Genomic DNA, 19,948 nt, shown 5'->3' with positions numbered 1-19,948 from the left:
AAAATAGAAAGAATGGAGAAGGCCAGGAGCGGTGGCTCACGCCTATAATCTCAGCACTTTGGGAGGCCAAGATGGGTGGATTACTTGAGCTCAGGGGTTCAAGACAAACCTGGGCAACATGGTGAAACCCCATCTCTACAAAAAATTAGCCAGGCATGATGGTGTGCACCGTGGTCCCAGCTACTCAAGAAGCTTAGGTGGCAGCATGGCTTGAGCCCAGGAGGCTGAGGTTGCAGTGAGCCAGAGTTGTTCCACTGCTCTCCAGCCTGGGCAACAGAGTGAGACTACATCTCAAAAAAAAAAAAAAAAAAAAAAAAAGGATGAATGAATGAGACCTACTATTTGACAGCACAACAGCATGACTAAAGTCAATAATGACTAAATTGTACATTTTAAAAATAGCTAAAAGAGTATAATTGGATGGTTTGTAACACGAAGGATAAATGCTTGAGGAGATGGATACCTCATTTTCCATGTTATCATTACATACTTCATGCCTGTATCAAAATATCTCATGTACCCCATAAATATATACACCTACTATGTACCCACAAAAATTAAAAATAAAAAAATTAAATATAGTAAAACAGTAAGAGGAAATGGAGACAGTAAGTATAGACAATGCTTAAAATTTTTTGGAGAAGTTTGACTGTGAAGGGAAGGACAACAGCAAAGGAGACAGTAAAGTCTGAGGAGGGCTTTCTGACTTCTTCTCTAGCCTCTCAAATGATGGGAAAGACTTGAGCACATTTAAGTGCAGATAAGAAGCCTCTGGGTCAAGGAGAGAGTTTAAAGATGCAGGAGAAAACACTGGAGAATCTATTGAGAATAGGAGGAAATGGGATGTGGGCACAGATGGATTAATCTTTGATAAGAACATGAACACCTCTTCTGCCTAATGGCAGGGAAGGAAGAGAGACCATCTTGTGTAGATTTTGACAGTCCGGAAGGTTTGGTAGAGTAAATCAAGGGAGTTATTCCCTTGGCTCCAATTTCAATGGGAAATAGGAGATGAAGTCATAGGAGAATGAGGAGTGAGGCTAGGTTGCAAAGGGCCAGGGTTGACTAATCAAAGATAGTAGACAAGATTGAAGGACAGTGTCTATGACAAAGATAAGGACAGGATCTATGCATATTGATATATTTGGTTACAGCTCAAAGATCAGAGCACACTACTAAAAAAGCATGTGGGGCTGAGAAACTCATCAATATTTATATGTCGTGCTGATGCTCTTGGTTCTAATAGTCTTTACGAGTTTAAGTTTCTTAGTGGCACAGAATCCAAGATATGCACCCTTTCATTCTTTCATTCATTCATCAAATTCTTGTTGAGCACCAGTCATGTGCCAGGTACTATGCTAGGTGCTTGGGAGATATGGCTGTGAACAAAGTAGAACAAGGCTGGGAGCCTTAGGGACCTCTATTCACATGATCATGACATGAATTGTGCCCACGGAGCTGGAATGGTGCCAGTGCATGGAATTGGAAAGTCTCTCCCTTCAAGGGGCTCTTATAATGGTAGAAAAGAAGGCTGGCTGGGATGAAGACAAATATGCTGTATTAGTCCGTTTTCACACTGCTATAAAGAAATACTTGAGACTGGGTAATTTATAAAGAAAAGAGCTTCAATTAATTCATAGTTCCACATGGCTGGGAAGCCTCAGGAAACTTAAAATCATGGCAGAAGGGGAAGCAAATACATCCTTCTTCACATGGTGTCAGGAGAGAGAGTGAGTGCAAGCAGGGGAAATGCCAGGCACTTATAATACCATCAGATCTCATGAAAACTCATTCCCCATCACGAGAACAGCATGGGGAAAACTGCCCCCTTGATCCAATCACTTCCCTCCCTGGACACATGGGGATTACAATTTCAGATGAGATTTGGGTGGGGACACAGAGCCAAACAATATCATAAGCTAACAAACAAATGTGATAATTTTGAATTCTTGGTAAGTTTTATAGGAGAACAAAAGCAAATGAGGAAATAGAAAGTAATGGGGTGGTGGGGATGCAGTGTGGTAAAGGCTACTACAGACTGCCTGGCCAGGAAAAGCCTTGCTGAGGGATGATACTGGGGCTGAGAAACATAGAGCCACAAGAAGAGGCAGGGAAAAGCCTGGGGGCCAAGGGAATGGTATGTGCTAAGATAGAAAAGTAAGGAGTCCTGAATGACTGGATACAGTGAGCAAGAGGTCAGCAAGGTAGACGGTCCAGATCCTGTGAGGCCTTTCAAGCCATGATAAGGAGTTTGGATTCTATTCTAAGTGTGATGGAAAGCTACTGATGTTATTAAGAGAAGAGTAAATGTTGTGATTTACAGATTTAAAGGATCACTCTGGCTGCTGTGTAGTGAAATGGATTGGAAGGGGAAAGATCAGAGAGGCCACTTAGGAGGCTACTGAATAAATAATATAAGTGAGAAGACAGTAGCTAAGATTAGGGTGGGGTGGTGGAGGTGGAGAAAAGTGGAACAATTTGGGATCTGTTTTAGAGACAGACCAACAGGATGTAGTGTTAAACTAGTCATTGCAGACTGGCAGTAAAGGAAAGTGGAAAATCAAGGTTGACTCCTAGTTTGTAAGTTGAGCAAATGGGTTGAATGGTGATATTATCTGATGGGATGAAAAATACTGGGGCAGAAGTAGATATTGGAGGAAAAGTCCAGAGTCTCACACTGCACATTTTAGTTTGAAGTGCCTACTACACATGGATCTACAGGTCTGGAGCTTCAAGCACAGGTCTGGGCTAGAGGTTTGGAAATCATCAACAGAGAGATAGTATTTTAAGCCTCAAGGTATGAGGAGATCAGCTGGAGAGAGAATGTATGTAGAGAAGAAAAGAGGTACTATAGCATGCTGACTTCAGAGATCAGCTAGAGGATGAGCCAGCAAGAAAGCAAGGAAGTCTGAAAAATGAGAAAAGAGAGGTAGAGGAAAAGCTCAAAGACGGCAATGTCCAGACTCCAAGAGGAGTGTGTGTTCAGAAAGAGAGAGTGGGCAAGCGGCTGAGAGAATTCGAAGAAAAGGATGGAAAGGGCACCATTTCTTATGCCACATGAGGATTATTGGTGACATTAAAAAACTGACTCAGTGGACTGATAGAAACAGAGGTATTGGGGAGGAAAAATAATTTTCCCTCAACCCCTCGTAGTTCTTAGCTGGGATGCCTATAACAAAAGACAGATTAACAAAAGAAAAACAAACAATTTAATTAATGCATACAGCACACATCATCTGGGAGAAATTTCAATGAAAAGTAACTCAGATCAATGGCTTATACAGCATATACAGCATCTTCAACAAAGAACAATACATTTGTAGAGAACAGACAAAGAAAAGCAATTTTAGACTTCTAAGGAAAGTTAAATATATTGGAGGAAACTAACAGATAAAATTTGTTTGCAAATCACTCTGGTGCCATGTTTGGGTTGGTAAGAGTCTAGAGTGGTCTCCAGCAAAGGAGAATTTATAGCCTGTCTTTAGGCAGAAAAGGAGGTTGGATAAAGAGAGCTTTTCCTCTACTGCATCTTAATTGCCTTTAGCTCAAAAATAATTTTTATGTCAAAGAGGCAGTTTTGATTCATACAGATGTGAAAAAAAGAAGCATATTTTGAGGTGACATGTTTTCTTCAGATGCAAATGTGGGGGTGAGTTTTAAAGTAATCGAAAATTGAGAAAGCAAAGCTATTACATACAGGCCTTTCATTTGAGTGGTTTTGTGTTTAAAGGAACACAGAAGTAAAAATATAGGGAGATATGTGATCGAGAGGGACTTGTTTCTTTATGTATCTAAATGGAAGATAGTAGAGTCTGTTTATATGGTGAAGGAAATTATATGGAACCTAAAAATGAAGAGTTATCTTTTTTTTTTTTTTGACACAGGGTCTCACTCTGTCACCCAGGCTGGAGTACAGTGGTGCAATTACGGCTCACTGCAGCCTCGACCTCCCAGACTCAGACTCAAGTGATCCTCCCATTGCAGCATCCCAGGTAGCTAGGACAACATGTGCATGCTACCATGGCCGGCTAAGTTTTAAAAATTTTTTATAGGTTGGGGGGGTCTCCTCATGTTGCCTAGGCTGGTTTTGAACTCCTGGGCTCAAGCAATCCACCTGACTTGGCTTCTCAAAGTGCTGGGATTACAGGCCTAAGCCACCACCCCTGGTCAAGAGTGTATCTTTTAATAGGTGTAGGGACACATTTTCATTTGTTTACTAAGTTCTTGTATTTGTTTTGCTTTATTTTAGAGATAGCATCTTGCTCTGTTGCCCAGGCTGGTCTGAACTCCTGGCCTCAAGTGATCCTTGCATCGTGGCCTCCCAAGCCAAAGCACTGGGATAGAGGCATGAGCCATCACACCCGGCCTAAATTCTCCCTTTTATTTTCTTTCTTTCTTTCTTTCTTTCTTTTTTTTTTTTTTTTTTTTTTTGAGACAGAGTCTCACTCTGTTACTCAGGCTAGAGTACAGTGACACGATCACAGCTCACTGCAGCTTTCACTTCCTGGGCTCAAGCAATCCTCCCACCTTGGCCTCCCAGGTAGCTGGGACTACAGGGGAACACCACCATGCCCAGCTAATTTTTTGCATTTTTGGTGGAGACGGGGTCTTACCATGTTGGCCAGGCTGATCTCAAACTCCTGGATGCCAGTGGTCCACCCCCTCACCCCGCCCCAGCCACCCGGCCTCCCAAAGTGCTGGGATTACAGGCTTAAGAGCCACTGCACCGAGCCTAAATTCTTAATGAATTATTTGTTGAATTTAGTTCAAGAGAGAAGAAAGGTTTATACAGTGACACCTCCCAGGCACCAGATGGCAATGTTCAGCTGCTGTTCTGTTCCCTGTCACCTGAGAGCACCCTCTCAAGAGCTAGTAGATAACATGCACTTCTGTCCTTCCAAGGTGGACTGAGTTGGCCCTAGGGCAGTTGAAATTTTAGATGACTTTCTGGTTTGGCTCTTTTAGTGGAATTGCAACTCCTGGGAAAGAACAGAGGGTTTATGCATTTAAAGAGGACATTGTGTTACAAAGGACAAAGGGTAGGGAACATTTCTCAGAATGGGTTTGAGAGTCAGCAGTTTACCTGCCACCCAAAACTAGGAGGAACCAGCTAGACAATAAATAACACTAAAAATCAGGGAGAAGCCTACATGTTTATTAACAAGGAAACACTGATCCATCATTGTAGGATGAAGGCAGCTGTGAGGACTGGATTCTTGGCCTGTGGATTTCCAGTGACTCTCACAGGTGGCAGCAGCACTTCTAGGCTGGCAAATGCACTTCTGTGCTGTCACCGCTGGTTTCTCTATGGCCTCTGACTCTCTGCCCTAGTTATACTGAAACTAATCTCAATCACATCCTTCCTTTCTTACATCCTGGCCCAGATCTGACCTGGGAAGGGCTTCCATCCGATCAGCACAATAACTCAAGCAGCCCCACCCTCTCGTTGACTAATATTGACAGTATTTGTTTAAATACATTTGTGATCAACTTACTCTAGCCTCTTGGGCCTTTCTACTTTTATAAGATGGTTAAAGCCTTCCAACAACCCAATCTTGAAAATTGATGTGTATTTCTTCTAGCTTGGCAGGGCTTTTCCTATTTCCTCCTGGATATTTGGAATTATCCCAATGAAGAATCTTTTAAACAAATATTTCCTCTTATATTCTCTTTTTCTTTTTTTTTCCTTTGTTCTTCCTGATAACCACAAATCAATCTAAATCCCCCTTACGTTTTTCATAGTCTTTACTCGTGCTTAGGTCTTCTTTGCTTTGAAAAGTGTCTTTGTTTCTGGTGCACCTCCAAATTACCATCTTATTTCTTGCTTTTCTTTCCCTGGCAAACCTCCCTTTATCTTCTTTAACTCTTGGAAATCTGTTTTCCATCAGCTTTAGAATTGTCCTCTGCAAGGTTAAGAGTAACTTTTGCCAGTCACTATTTTCCTGAACTTTTCTATGTCATTTGATACTGTTGACCAACCTTTCTTTCTTCAAATAGTTTTTCTTTCTTCTTTTTTTTTTTTTTGGCTCACCTAACTAATCTGATTCTTTTCTCAGCTCTGATCCTTTCTTCTCTGTTACCTTAGATAACTCTTCTTCCTACTTCTGCCTGTGGGGAACAGCGACCCAAGGGGCAGCCTCATTTGGGGACTCTGAGCCATTCATTAGGGCTCACTTCTGTGTTAATGACTTCTCTGTGTGATCTGATCGTCTCACAAGACTGCCAGCCTTCTTTATCTAATTGTCCTTTAAACATTTCCACTGAATGTGATGCTTTCACCCCAAGTTCAGTATTACTTTTTAAAAACTCTTCATCTTTACCTGGCTCCCTGAAATCATCTCCTTTAAACTTCCATTTCCCTGTCCAGGAGTACCCCTGTTATTCCAGTCACCTCAGCATAAAAACTTTGAAGCATTTATGACCATCTTTTTTTTAGACCTAGGTTTTAGTCCCAGATCTTCCACATACCAGCTGTGTGGCTTATTTAGGACAAGTTGTATAACCAGATAACCGATCTGTCCATCAGTGAACTCACATTAAATAAGGATAGTAATAAAAACTAAGGGTTATTGTAAGGAACATTTAAAGTGACTTGACAGTGCCTGGAACATCAAAAATGCTCAGAAACTTTTTGTTAATACTATTTTTGAAATCCCCTGCATCCTCCACCCCCTATTATTTATCTTACCAACCAAAGGTTTTTTTCTTACATCTAAGTTATGAACAGATTCCGAACCAACCTTTCAGATTCCAGTCCCTAGCTCTTTCAAACCATCATGCATGTTTTTACCAGATTAATCTTACTTGAACATTGCTTTCATAATATTACTACCACACATCAACATTTTTTTTTTTTTTGAGATAGCGTCTTGCTCTGTCACCCAGGCTGGAGTGCAGTGGCACGATCTTGGCTCACTGCAACCTCTGCCTCCCAGGTTCAAGGGATTCTCCTGCCTCAGCCTCCCCAGTAGCTGGGATTACAGACGCATGCCAACACACCAGGCTAATTTTTGTATTTTTAGTAGAGAAGGGGTTTCACCATGTTGGCCAGGTTGGTCTCGAACTCCTGACCTTGTGATCCACCCACCTCAGCCTCCCAAAGTGCTGGGATTGCATAAGCCACCGCGCCTGGCCCACAAACCAATTTTTAAATGGCTCCTCTTTTTTTTTTTTTTTAAACCACAGAGTCTAAACTTCTGTCCTTCCTGGTTTGGCTTCACTCTGTGGCCACCAACCCCAAGCATCTCCTTAGCATTTATTCCTTTCTTCTCCTGGCTGGTGAGCATTCCATACTCACTTCTGCCTCGTGATTTTCCCATGCTAATTGTCTTGATAGGCCTAACTCCATCTACTCCTTTGTCTGCTTAGCTTTATCGTCTTCAGAAAACATATCATGACTTCGTTAATCAGCTTCTTACAGAGTCTAGACTATCACAGTCCTCAAAATGGATCTGTACTTCACAATTTAGCCTTTTATTTTTGCTCCCTTTTTTCCCTTCTGATTTCTTTATTACTTTATTATTATATAATTCACATACCATAAAATTCAACGTTTTCAAGGATACATGTCAGTAGTTTATAGCAGCAGTCCCCAACCATTTTGGCACCAGGGACCGTTTCGTAGATGACAATTTTTCCACAGACTGAGGTGCAGCAGGGTGGGGTGGGGGAATGGTTAGGGGATGAAACCGTTCCATCTCAGATCATCAGGCATTAGATTCTCATAACAAGCGTGCAACCTAGATCCCTTACATGTGCAGTTCACAATAGGGTTTGCATGCCTATAAGAATTTAATGCTGCTGCTGATCTGACAGGAGGTGGAGCTCAGGCAGTAATGTTCATTCGCCCGCCACTCACCTCCTGCTGTGCAGCCCAGTTCCTAGCAGGCCACGTACTGCTACCGGTCTGTGGCCCAGGAGTTGGGGACCCCTGGTTTATAGTATATTCATAGAGTTGTGCAGACATCACCACTATCTAATTTCAGATCATTTTTATCACCCTCAAAATAAACATTGCACGTATTAGTAGTACTTCCCATTCTTTCCTCACCACCCTCCCCGCTGCCCCCAGTTCCCAACAACCACTAATCTGCTTTCTATCTCTATTGTTTTGCCTATTCTGGATATTTCACATAAGTGGAATCATACAATACCTAACTTTTTGTGTCTGGTATCATTCATTTGGCATGATTTCAAGTTTATCCATTTTGTGGCATGTATTGGTACTTAATTCTTTTCTTAGGCTGAACAATCTTTCTTTCTTTCTTTTCTTTTCTTTTTTTCAGACGAAGTTTAACTCTTGTTGCCCAAGCTGGAGTGCAATGTTGCGATCTCGGCTCACTGCAACCTCCACCTCCTGGGTTCAAGGGAATCTCCTGTCTCAGCCTCCCGAGTAGCTGGGATTACAGACGTATGCTGCCACGCCCAGCTAATTTTTGTATTTTTAGTAGAGAGGGGGTTTCACCATGTTGGTCAGGCTGGTCTCCAACTCCTGATCTCAGGTGATCCGCCCACCTGGGCCTCCCTAAGTGCTGGGATTACAAGTGTGAGCCACCATGCCCAGCCGAACAATATTTCATTGTATAAATATACCACATTTTGTTTATCCATTAATTACTTGAAAGACGTTTGGGTTGTTTTCATCTTTTAGACATTATGAATATTCATGTATGTTCAAGCTTTTATGTGGGCATATGTCTTCACTTCTCTTGGGTATACACCTAAGAGTAGAAATGGTGGGTTATGGGATGTCTGAATCTATCTGTGCTGCTGCAACAAAATACCACAAACTGGGTAGCTTATAAACAATAGAAATCTGCTTCCCACACTTATGGAGGCTGGAAAGTCCAAGATCAAGAGGCCAGCAGATTTGTGTCTGATGAGGGCTGCTTTCTAGTAAACAGTTGGCACCTTCTCGCTGTGTCCTCACATGGTGGAAGGGGCAAATGAGCTCCATTAGGCCTCTTTTATAAGTGTGCTACTCCCTTATTAAAGGGATTAATGATCTAATCAAAGGCCCCACCTCTTTATTTTTAATTAAAAAAATTTTAAAGTTTGTTTTTAGAGACAAATGAAAACAACAAAAAAAATTTTTTTAATTTGATTTTAGGGCCTCACTCTGTCATCCAGGCTGGAGTGCAGTGGCATGACCACTACTCAATGCAGCCTCAAACTCCTAGGCTTGGCCAGGCGCAATGGCTCATGCCTGCAATCTCAGCACTTTGGGAGGCTGAGGAAGGCAGTTTGAGGTCAGGAGTTCAAGACCAGCCTGGGCAACATGGTGAAACCCTGTCTTTACTAAAAATACAAAAATTAGCCAGGCATGGTGGCATGCCAAGTAGTCCCAGCTACTTGGGAGGCTGAGGTAGGAGAATCACTTGAGCCCAGGAGATGGAGGCTTCAGTGAGCCAAAATCGTGCCACTGTACACCAGTCCAGGTGACAGAGTGAGACCTTGTCTTGAAAAACAAAAGAAAAAAAAATTCCTGGGCTCCAGCAATACTCCCACCTCAGCCTCCTGAGTAGCTGGGACTACAGGTGCCCACCTTGATGCCCAGATAATTTTTTTTACTTTTATTTTTGCAGAGACATGATCTCACCATGTTGCCCAGGCTGGTCTCAAATGCCTGGGCTCAAGCGATCCTCCCACCTAGGCCTCCCAAAGTGCTGAGGTTATAGGCATGAGCCACTATACCAGGCCTTCCCCATCTCTTAATATCATCACATTGGGGGTTTGGATTTCAACATATGAATTTTAGGAGGACACAAACATTCAGACCATGGTAGCTATGTATATGCTAACTATATCTATATATATATGGTGACCATATATATAGTAACTCTATGTTTAACTTTTTGAGGAACTGCCGAACTGTTTTTCAAAGCAACTTACCATTTGCTTTCCCATCAGCAGCGTATAAGGGTTGCAATTTTTCCACATCCTAACCAACACTTGTTATCATCTTTTTTATTATAGTCCTTCTAGTAGGATGTGAGGTGTTATCTCATTGTACCTTAATTTGTATTTCCCTGCTGATAAATGATGTTGAGAATATTCTGTGTGGCCATTTGTATGTCTCCTTTGGACAACTGTATATCCATATTCTTTGCCCATTTTTAGTTAGGTTATTTGTCTGGGGTTATTGTTGAATTGTAATAGCTCTTTATTTATTTTTTATACAAGTCACTGAAAATATATATGATTTGCAAATATTCTTCCCATTCTATAAATTGCTTTTTCACATTTTGGTTGCTGCCTTTAAAATATAACTATTTTAAACTTTGATAAAATCCAACTTAACTATATTTTCCTTTGTTGCTTATGCCTTGATGTCTTATTTAAGAAGCCATTGCCTAATCCAAGGTCATAACGTTTAGTACTATATTTTCTTGGAGGAATTTTATAGGTTTAGACCTTACATTTAAGCCTATGCTGTATTTAGTTAATTTTTGTATATGTTGTACGTGGCTGTCCTTTCTGATGTTTTAAATATAAGCCTCCTGTATCAGATAGATGTTCCTTAAGAATTTGTGACATGTGTTATACATTTACATGCCTGTCTCAATGTCCTACACTGTGCTAGACACATAGTTACTGTGTTTGTACGTGTGAACATTTGATATTTTTGTTGAGGTGAAGAATATTTCACAAGATGTCCTGGTGTTCAAACTTAAGTCGGTGGGGGGAGGTGGGGGAAAAGGTATCCCGAGCATGGTTTCCTACATAAAACTTTCTGTAACTAAAGCAGTAAATGTAAGCAGTGCATTTCTTTCCCCTTAAAGATTTCACTGTTATCTCGGAGCCCTTCTTTGGTCTGTGAAAACAGCCATATTCCTAGCAAATCTTGTTTCTCAGTTTGCCAGTCCTTTTCTTGCTAATTACAGTGACTGCCCATTTCTGTCAAAAAAGTGGCTTTTGCAACCTCCCTTCCCATTTAGATCACATTCCACACCCCTGGATTTCTACCTCTTTAGTAGCGTTATTGGTGTGTGCCATTTTTGGCAATCCCCAAGACAAAGAAAGAATTCTACCCACCTGGTATTTGACAAGAATAATTCATTACATTTCATCTTGCTGGCCTCATGTCGCATTTTCAAGTCCCCCCTTACACATTTCACACCCACACAAATCCTCTCTTATTTTCTCCTACCCCCATCCTCTCTCCTTCTTTCAAACCCAGGGGTTATATTTTGAATTGACCTTCTAGAAATATAAAGCACAGTGCAAGTAGGCACAGAAAAAAAGCTAAAGTCAACCTGAGCATTACCAAGCCCGAGGGCTGCATTTGACGGCAGATCTGTGAGGCACTGCTTGGTCTAAATCTAAGTCCAGTGCTTGGTACCTTATTTGGATATTGCTGCTTTCATTGCTTGAGCTGTTCTTCCAAACACTGGCGTACTCAGCTACTTTTCAGTATGATGTAAGTACCACAAGCATTGCATTGTCCTAGTGGTTCTAGCAGGGGATTTCAGATAAGAGTCTACATTTGAATACATTCTAAATCTTAGGTAGAAGTGAATATTTAAGAAATGCACTTGAAAGCGTCACTTGATAAACTGGAAAAAAAAAATCCCAGTTTCAGAGAGGTGAGGCTGACTCCTCTTTAATCTTCAAAGCAAGTGACAGCTTGAAATAGTCAAAAAGAAGGCCTGAAGGGATCAGCTGCACCCAACCTAATCTAATTATTCTTCCACTGGTACTTAACTGAAGGTCCTTGCCTTCCTGTGCATTAATTGCTCAAATATATACTGCTGACTTTCTAAAGCCAGTAAAGTGTCTTATGAAGCTATACTCAAGCGATTTCAAATGTTAAGAAATAGGGCAGTTATTCACAATATTAAAATTCCCCACCCCCACTCTCTGTCACTAAATGTAGAGAACATTCGTAGAAGTGGATTCAGGAAAGCACGGTAGTTAGAGCAGTCGGTGCTGTCGTGGGGGTGTTCAGAAAGTAACTCTTACTGGAAAGTGGGAAAATAACTAGAATTTGGAAACCGAGTACAGATGCTCTGCAACTTATGATGAGGTTACATTCTGTAAATTGAAAATATTGTAAGTCAAACATGCATTTCATATACCTAACCTACCGACGAACATCACAGCTTAACCTAGCCTATCTTAAATGTATCCAGAACATTTACATTAGCCTCCAGTTGGGCAAAATGATCCAATATGAAGCCCATGTTATAGTAAAGTGTTGACTATCTCATGTAATTTATTGAATACTGTACTGAATGTGAAAAACAGAAAGGTCCTAGGGGTATTCAAAGTACGGTTTCTACTGAATGCCTATCGCTTTCACACCGTCATAAACAAAAAATCATAAGTCAGGGACCATCTGTATTAAAAGAGTTTCTAAACCATGACAGTTGGCTTCAACAATTTTGTCTGAAGGAAAGGGAATATTCAGAAAGGGCATAGATATTTTAGGTTCTAGAAAGGCATGTTTAGAAAGCCATAATTTTTTTGTAGCTTACTGGAGCATGTGCAAATGTCATAAGATACAATTCTTAGCTTCATTCCCAGCTCCATTTTAAATCTCTACTCCAAAATAAATAAATAAATCTCTACTCCACCCCTCTAAGCCTCCCAATCCCCACCCACCTTTTTTTTCTTGTTTTGTGCCACTTATAATGTATACTATCTCACAGTTTATGCATCCTTATACGTTGCCATAAATCTTTTGGGGGATAAAGTGGGGGAAATAAATAAGTATATTTTTAAAGTGGGGATTTTCCCATTGAGATTTGTTTTTTGTTTTTCTGCGATCAATCCAGGCTGGAGGGCAGTGGTGTGAATACAGCTCACTGCAGCCTCCACCTCCTGGGCTCAAGTGATCCTCCTGCCTCAGCCTCCCAAAGTGCTGGGATTATAGGCATGAGCCACTGTACCTGGCCCCTGAGATTTCTCCATGGAACAGACCCACTGTTTCTTTGACATTTGTGTTGGTTTGACACCAGCATGTTTTCCATTTTCTCTGTACCAAGCTATTGTGAATTTGTGGACAATGAAAATAATTTGAAATCTCTGCTCTTAAAGAACTCAAGTTTTCTTTAGAACTATTTAAAAAACACCAAAGGAAACCTCTGAAAATCCTGTCCATCGTTCAGTCAGTAGCTGCTGTATCCAGTGTCTATCATCGTGAATGTCATGGCATGTACAGAGAAACTGAAATGCTGGATGCAATTCTAGGTGGTGGTGTAAAGTTTTTGAGTTGGCAGAAAATAAAGAATAAAAGAAAGAAAAAACTTCCGTGATCTCAAGACCCAGAGAGCTTCTTAACATTTTGCTGTATTTCCTTACAGTCTTTTTCTCTGAACATTTAACGTAAATAAGCTCTTAATTTTATAGCTGCATATCCAGTTCTGCAGTTTTGTGCCCTAACAAGCAATTCCTTAATTTATTAAAAACATTTTCCTGTATATTTTCAACCCCATAATTTACATAAACTCCCTCATCTCCGGACATTCATATTGCTTTCAAGTGAACTATTTGGAACGTCCACGAGTAGAAATATTGGAGAGTAGACAGATAAGAGACTGAAGGCATCAATTTCTCCATGATAACTAGCTAAAAACACTGTAGTGGTTTTCCCTATTTTTTTTTCTGCCAAGCCTTTGGCATCTGACTAAATTTTGCTGCTTTCACTCCTTTCTGAGTTCCACCCCTTTCTTGAGGCCTCTCATCTTGTTTCCCAGTAATGTTAATGAACAAAAGGTTATCTGCCTAGCGAGTTCCTTTTCCAAGCGTTTGAGACAATTCGACAAGATTATGAGACTGCGAACTGGAGTCTTTTATCTTTAAAAGGTATTTTAATCTGAGCCTTCTTGACGTTTATTTTCTGAGCCCATGAATTTGCTAGCGAGGCAGTTTCTCTGGTTTGCTGTTTCTGAAAGGAGTTCCCTCAACAGAGTACAACAGTTAATGGGGGAAGTGGAAACAAAAGCGGGAAGCAGGAGGACCGTTCCCCATCACTAGCCAGTCTTCAACAGGTGAAGTTGTTTAGCTCTTCCTGGTACCTGCAGGCACCGTTCCAGAAGTATTAAAATCCAAGGTGTGGCTGAGGGTGGGATGGAACATGTATCTCCATCTAACAGCTTTAATAGACTGTTAGTTCTAACTTGCATATAAAAACACACAAATAAGTACAAAGAGCTGGAGAAGCTGGGGAAACAGTTTCTGAGTAAAACCTGTGGCACTAGGTTGTGTCTTTCCTTTCCCCTCAGGCAAGAGCATCATCTGTTTGACTGGCATCTGGCTGGAGCGTCCGAAGGGGTTAAGAACGCTTGCAAACTCCTGGGAGTCCAGTAGGAGTTGCTGATGGTGCCGGACATTGCTTGCAAAGCAATTTTTGTGGTTCACCTCCCTCGGGGTTTTCTTATTCTTTTGTAGGACATTCAAGGAGTTGGTTTGGGCATTTACTTTTTAAAGTTTCTCCGTCCCAGACTCCTCTCTCCAGCTCCCGGGGTGCGGCACCTCTCACCTCCCTGAGGCTTTTTGTCTCGCTGCAGGCGTGGGGAGGGGGCGAGAGGACTTTGTTCTCCGAAAACGACCTTGCCCTGGGAATTTCCTGGGGCCGTTTCTCACGGACAAGCCCCCTCTCCCTGCTGCCAGCGCGGACACACGCCGCGGGGGCCCCAGTCCAGCCTGAGCTCTAGACGCCCCGCCGGCCACCAGCGCCCCGGGAAAGGCCGCCCGCGCTCCCCCGCTCCCCCTCCTCAGGGCCCGCCGCCTAGAGCCCGGATGTTGGATTCAATTCCTGAGCCGGGTCCTTCATTTCCATAAAAGGGCAGCGCTCCGCGGGGCCGAGATTGCCGCCCCGCCGCGCCCCCCGCCACCCCCGCGCCGCCCCGCCCCACGCCGCCCCGCCCCGCCCGGGACCCGCAGCCCCCTCCCCCGAGCGCGGCGCCGGGAGGGCGGGGGCAGAGGCGAGGCCGGCCGGACCCGCTCAGGGCAGCTCTGCGGGCGGCGAAGGAGGGAGCCAGCGCGCCCAGCCCAGCCAGGCTCGGACAGAGGGGGCGGGGAGAGGGTGGAGCGCGGGGAGCCAGGCGAGGGGCCGCGACGACGGGACTCCATTAGCCGCTCCGGCCACAGGCAGCGCTTCGCCAGCCGAGGAACCGGACGCGGACACCGCCGCCCCGCGAGCCTCCAGCCCCTCGCCTGTTGCCGCGCGAGTCCCGGGCCCGGAGCGCTAGGAGCGCGCGGTGAGGGAGCGGGACCCCGCCGGGACCCGAGGGGGCGCGGCGGGGAGGGGAACGGGGAGTCAGCCCGCGCTGTGTCTCGGGGCCGGCCGGCAGGTGAAGCCCTCCGCGGTCCGCTAGGCGGGGACGGTGTGGGGCGGGCGGCGCCGGGACCGAGGAACGCTGCGGGGCGAGCGGGGCGTAGGGTCCTCCCGCAGCCCCGGCCGCCGCCGCCCTCCCGAGTTTCTGCCGAAAGCCCCGGGTCCTCCACCACCTCCCAGCCCGTGGCCGGCGCTGCGAATTCGGTGGGATTCGCCTTTCTTTGGGGGAGTGACGCTTACGAGAGCCATTTCCTCCGCGCTCGCAGGAAGGAGCCATGGCTCTGGACGGGATAAGGATGCCAGATGGCTGCTACGCGGACGGGACGTGGGAACTGAGTGTCCATGTGACGGACCTGAACCGCGATGTCACCCTGAGAGTGACCGGCGAGGTGCACATTGGAGGCGTGATGCTTAAGCTGGTGGAGAAACTCGGTGAGTAGCATCCCAGCCGCGTCCAACTAATGACTTCCCAGAATTGGTAGGGGGAGGAAAGAGGCTCACGACGGGGGAGGGGCCCATTTGAGAAATCTTGGCATCTCGCAAATGCTTTTTGGAGATGTAAAATCTTTCAGTATTTAAGCAGATAGACCTGTTCCCCTTTGCGTCTTATTTTGTTTTGCTATTCTCTGAATTTTCATATGTAATGATTCGAGCCTCCCAATTATAACCTTAATTGCGTAGTTACGCGGGACGGGGGATGTGTGCCGGGGAACTCGTTAATTCTTAACATTTACTGACAGAACGATAAAAGAATGAGGAAAGTGTGTTGGGAGGGTGATATTACAGTGTCCGTGGTTATCTATGTCTTCAGCATACCTGAATGTTAGTGACGTTTGGTATAGAGAATGATGCAAAATCCATTTAAGAAAAATCTGTGCTGGAAAATGTGCAACTACTGGCGCCAGTGTGAAGTTTCTGTGGCTGTTCTACGTGGTGGAGTGCATTAAAATGTTCCAGTCATCCACTCTTACTAGGGGTGGGGCAGTGCTTGACAAACTTGGTATCCATAGTCCATGCTCGATGTAAGCCGTTTCGAGCGTTCGGTTTTATATTAATAACAAGCCAAGGAAAGAACTTTGTGTTAAAAAGCAGACTTTGTTAAACTAATTTGAGGTTGACGGTGTTTGCTTGAGTACAAATATGTATTGGATTGATATCCGATTTAAAATAATAAGGTATCTTACAGTATGAAGTGTGTGAAGAGTGTGCAGTACACATTTTTGTGATGAATGAAACCATTTTCATCTGGAAGAGTCAGCTAAATAGATGATTTGATCATAAGAGAAATGCTCAGAGAACTATCTTCCTGAGCTTTAAAGAGCCTTTTGTACATAATACAGTTGTGATAAGATGATTATCTGTGTGGCATTGTCTTTTTAGGCTGGAATTGTTTTTTGTTTTGGTGAAGGGGGGTTGGGGACTTTCTGGGGGTTTTTTTCGTCTTTTTTTTTTTCTTTTTTTTTTTAAACACAGCATTCGTTTTCAAGCTACACTGGGAAAGTAGAGAAGTGCTTATTTGTCAGGAAATCTATTTCTTACCAAAGGATTATTGTATGTAAAGGTACTGAAATAGCACTCTGATGCATTTTGCAAAATAAGGCAGGATTCATTTGGGTGGACCTGCTTTGTACCCCTGCAGGAAGTTTTATTATTGAAGGACCAAAGTGAAGCTCCTTACAAGGTAGCCTCTTCCTTAAGACTGCATTGTTTGGCTCCCTGAGATACAGCTCAGGAAAGAAAATCCTCCTAGGTAGCCCAGTGAAAATTAGATTTTGCTGTATTGATTAACCATTTAACTGGCAGTTAACAGTATTTTTATCTGATTTGAATAAATCAGTCACTGTTTGCAAAATATGTATGAACCTTTTTTGTCCAGCTCTGGTATGAGATTATTTAAGAAGGAAAATAGCAAATATTTGGATATTTTGTTTTCAAAGAAAACAAGCATTTTTGTTAGAGCTTTTCTAATTTATGGTAAATGGACCATATTAATACATTGGTCTCAATAGGAGATATTTTTTATATTGCAAAAAAAGGAGCTGTTGAAGGTGACTGAGACAACTTGTAGTTCTCGAAAGCCAGGCTGTAGCTAATGAATAAATAATGGTTTCTATATTTATTTTGCATTGCTTAGGACTGTTTATTATAGAATCACAGTAATAAATAGAAATATAGAGAATAAACTGCAGACAGAAATGATGTTAATTTAAATGACTATAATCTTAATCTTTTAATGCTGATACATTTTTAATTTTTTATGCAGAGAAAAGAAGCCCAACAAGGTAGGAAATGCTGTGCGTATGGAAACCTTACATCTTTTCTGAACTGAATTCATACTGATTCCTCTTATATTTTGAATTCCAAATAGAAAGTGCCTCTGACTTTCCTGTTTGGTAAAAGTAGAGCTAAGTGATGCTTTTGGTTTTTAGGATTAGATGCTTTGAATGGTAAGCTATTTCGTTGCCTATCAGCAAGTAAATAGAGGAGAGATTCGGTAGGGCAGCATTTAAAACATCCACAAATCAGGCTAGTCAAATTAGAAAAGAACTTTGTAATTTTTCAGAGTTGCGTAAAACTGGAATGACCTGCCTTCTGAAGCCCTGACTTATGTCACTGAAGGTATTAAAGGGCAGACTGGATGACTACTTGCCAACAGTGGCTAGAGAGGATCAAAGCAGCTTGCAGAGTCTAGATAAAAGGTGGAGATGGTGGTAGGGATGAGATGGTACAAAGTCTGTTGTCTCAGGTTTGCAGAGCAGTGATGGAAAATTAGCAGACTTGGGCTACTGTGGCCTTGAAGCAGTTATGAACAGAAGACACCAGAGCATTCACTTACATTTTCAAACTCCAGACTGTCTGATATCCTTCTTAATCTGTTGGACGGTATATGAATACCAAAAGCATTATATTTTAAGGTGATTTTCCCAGATAATGTTCAGTAGCAGCAATTATTTCCCTGAAGTCGATAGATCTCAGGATGACCTATTCCCTCAACATTGTATTAAAATTGTGTGTGTGCACATGTGGAAGTTTCTAGGAAGAGGCTTCTTCACTTTAATTTCTCAAAGAGGTCTGTAACAAAAGAAGTCATGACACAATTTTATGGTTTGGCCCTTGTGTGTCAGGTTCATCTTGAAGCTAGGGTTCATCCCAGAGTGCGGCATTTTAATTAAGCACGACATAAGTGTAAATAATGTTTCCTTAATATGTGTCAGTAATATCTTTGTGTTTAGTTAGACTTTTATTATAAATAACGTGTACACTTTGCTTAAGGCCATTAAAACACAATTTTTAGAATTTTGACTTTAATTCAAAGATCTGAAAAGTCTCATTTATTTATTTATTTATTTATTTTTTACTTTTTGAGACGGGAGTCTCACTCTGTCGCCCAGACTGGAGTGCAGTAGCGCGATCCCGGCTCACTGCAAGCTCCGCCTCCTGGGTTCACGCCATTCTCCTGCCTCAGCCTCCCGAGTAGCTGGGACTACAGACACCCGCCACCATGCCTGGCTAATTATTTGTGTTTTTAGTAGAGACGGGGTTTCACCGTGTTAACCGGGATGGTCTTGATCTCCTAACCTCGTCATCCGCCTGCCTTGGCCTCCCAAAGTGTTGAGATTGCAGACGTGAGCCACCACGCCCATCCTAGGTCTCTTTTAAATCTCAGTATAAAACACATTTGTCATTTGCTATTAATCTTTTAAAAGAAAGCAAAAGCATATGTCATGAAGTGGGCTTTGGGGAATTATATCGTAATGTGACAAAGTTTTTGCATTTGTGACTTAGTCTAGGCTGATACTTCATAAATAATTGATCCCCTCAGTGTTTATACTTCATCCAGAAAGTGAAAAACACCCTAAAATCCAGTTTAGGTTGGGTACGGTGGCTCACATCTGTAATCCCAGCAGGCAGGGAGGCTGAGGCAGGTGGATCACCTGAGGTCAGGACTTCGAGACCAGCCTGACCAACATGGAGAAACCCCATCTCTACTAAAAATACAAAAATTAGCTGGATGTGGTGGCATGTGCCTGGAATCTCAGCTGCTTGGGAGGCTGAGGCAGGAGAATCACTTGAACCTGGGAGGCGGAGGTTGCAGTGAGCCAAAATCACACCACCCAGCCTAAGCGACAGAGCAAGACTCCGCCTCAAAAAAAAAAAGAATTGTGAAAATTTAGTACTGTTTGGTTTGGTTTGAGGCAAGGTCTTGCACTGTCACCCAGGCTGGAGTGAGTGTGTGTTCATGGCTCTTTGCATCCTCAAACTTCTGGGCTCAAGTAATCCTCTTGCCTTAGCTTCCTGAGTAGCTGGAACTACAGGCACGCACCACCACATCTTGCTGACTTTTAAAATTTTTCGTAGAGATGGGTCTTGCTTTGTTGCCCAGGCTGGTCTTGAACTCCTGGCCTCAAGCAGTCCTTCCACCTTGGCCTCCCAAAGTGTTGGGATTACAGATGTGAGCTGCCATGCCTGTTTTTTTTTTTTTAATCAAAGACAAATTTCAAACGTGTATAGTGTTTTTTAAAAGAAAAATTTTAAATATGAAATATCAGGGATAAGGATTATAAAAACAAGACATCAAAATAAAATTGTCTTCAAAAATAAATTTTGTCAAGAAGAGGCCCAATTTTATGGGATTCCTCTGGAGGTCATTGAGAAGTATTAAATCCT

General features: G+C 42.8%; 1 protein-coding gene across 7 annotated transcripts in view, besides 2 other annotated features; it reads left to right on the top strand.

Moving 5' to 3' along the window:
• Positions 13,797–14,375: an enhancer, noted in NCBI's record as "H3K27ac hESC enhancer chr14:53418467-53419045 (GRCh37/hg19 assembly coordinates)". NCBI's record gives its function as "activates a minimal SCP1, AML or CMV promoter by ChIP-STARR-seq in naive H9 embryonic stem cells {active_cell/tissue: H9 hESC(naive)}" and the evidence as "EXISTENCE:reporter gene assay evidence [ECO:0000049][PMID:30033119]".
• FERMT2 (FERM domain containing kindlin 2) overlaps positions 15,074–19,948 on the top strand; it is a 93,778-nt gene continuing 88,903 nt past the window's right edge. For all 7 annotated transcript variants that reach the window (NM_006832.3, NM_001134999.2, XM_006720010.4 and 4 more), the window contains exons 1-2: positions 15,074–15,203; positions 15,547–15,712. In NM_006832.3, the coding sequence (NP_006823.1) occupies positions 15,556–15,712 (157 nt within the window). In that variant the 5' untranslated portion in view covers positions 15,074–15,203; positions 15,547–15,555. The remainder of the gene's footprint in view (positions 15,204–15,546; positions 15,713–19,948) is intronic.
• Positions 15,096–15,305: a silencer, noted in NCBI's record as "silent region_5751". NCBI's record gives its function as "represses an Ori minimal core promoter by ATAC-STARR-seq in GM12878 lymphoblastoid cells {active_cell/tissue: GM12878}" and the evidence as "EXISTENCE:reporter gene assay evidence [ECO:0000049][PMID:35858748]".

Source organism: Homo sapiens, chromosome 14, assembly GCF_000001405.40.
Source record: "Homo sapiens chromosome 14, GRCh38.p14 Primary Assembly".
In the NCBI taxonomy this organism is placed as follows: domain Eukaryota; kingdom Metazoa; phylum Chordata; class Mammalia; order Primates; family Hominidae; genus Homo; species Homo sapiens.
The sequence above is the reverse complement of the archived record's forward strand: the minus strand, read 5'-3'. Positions and strand labels throughout refer to the sequence as shown.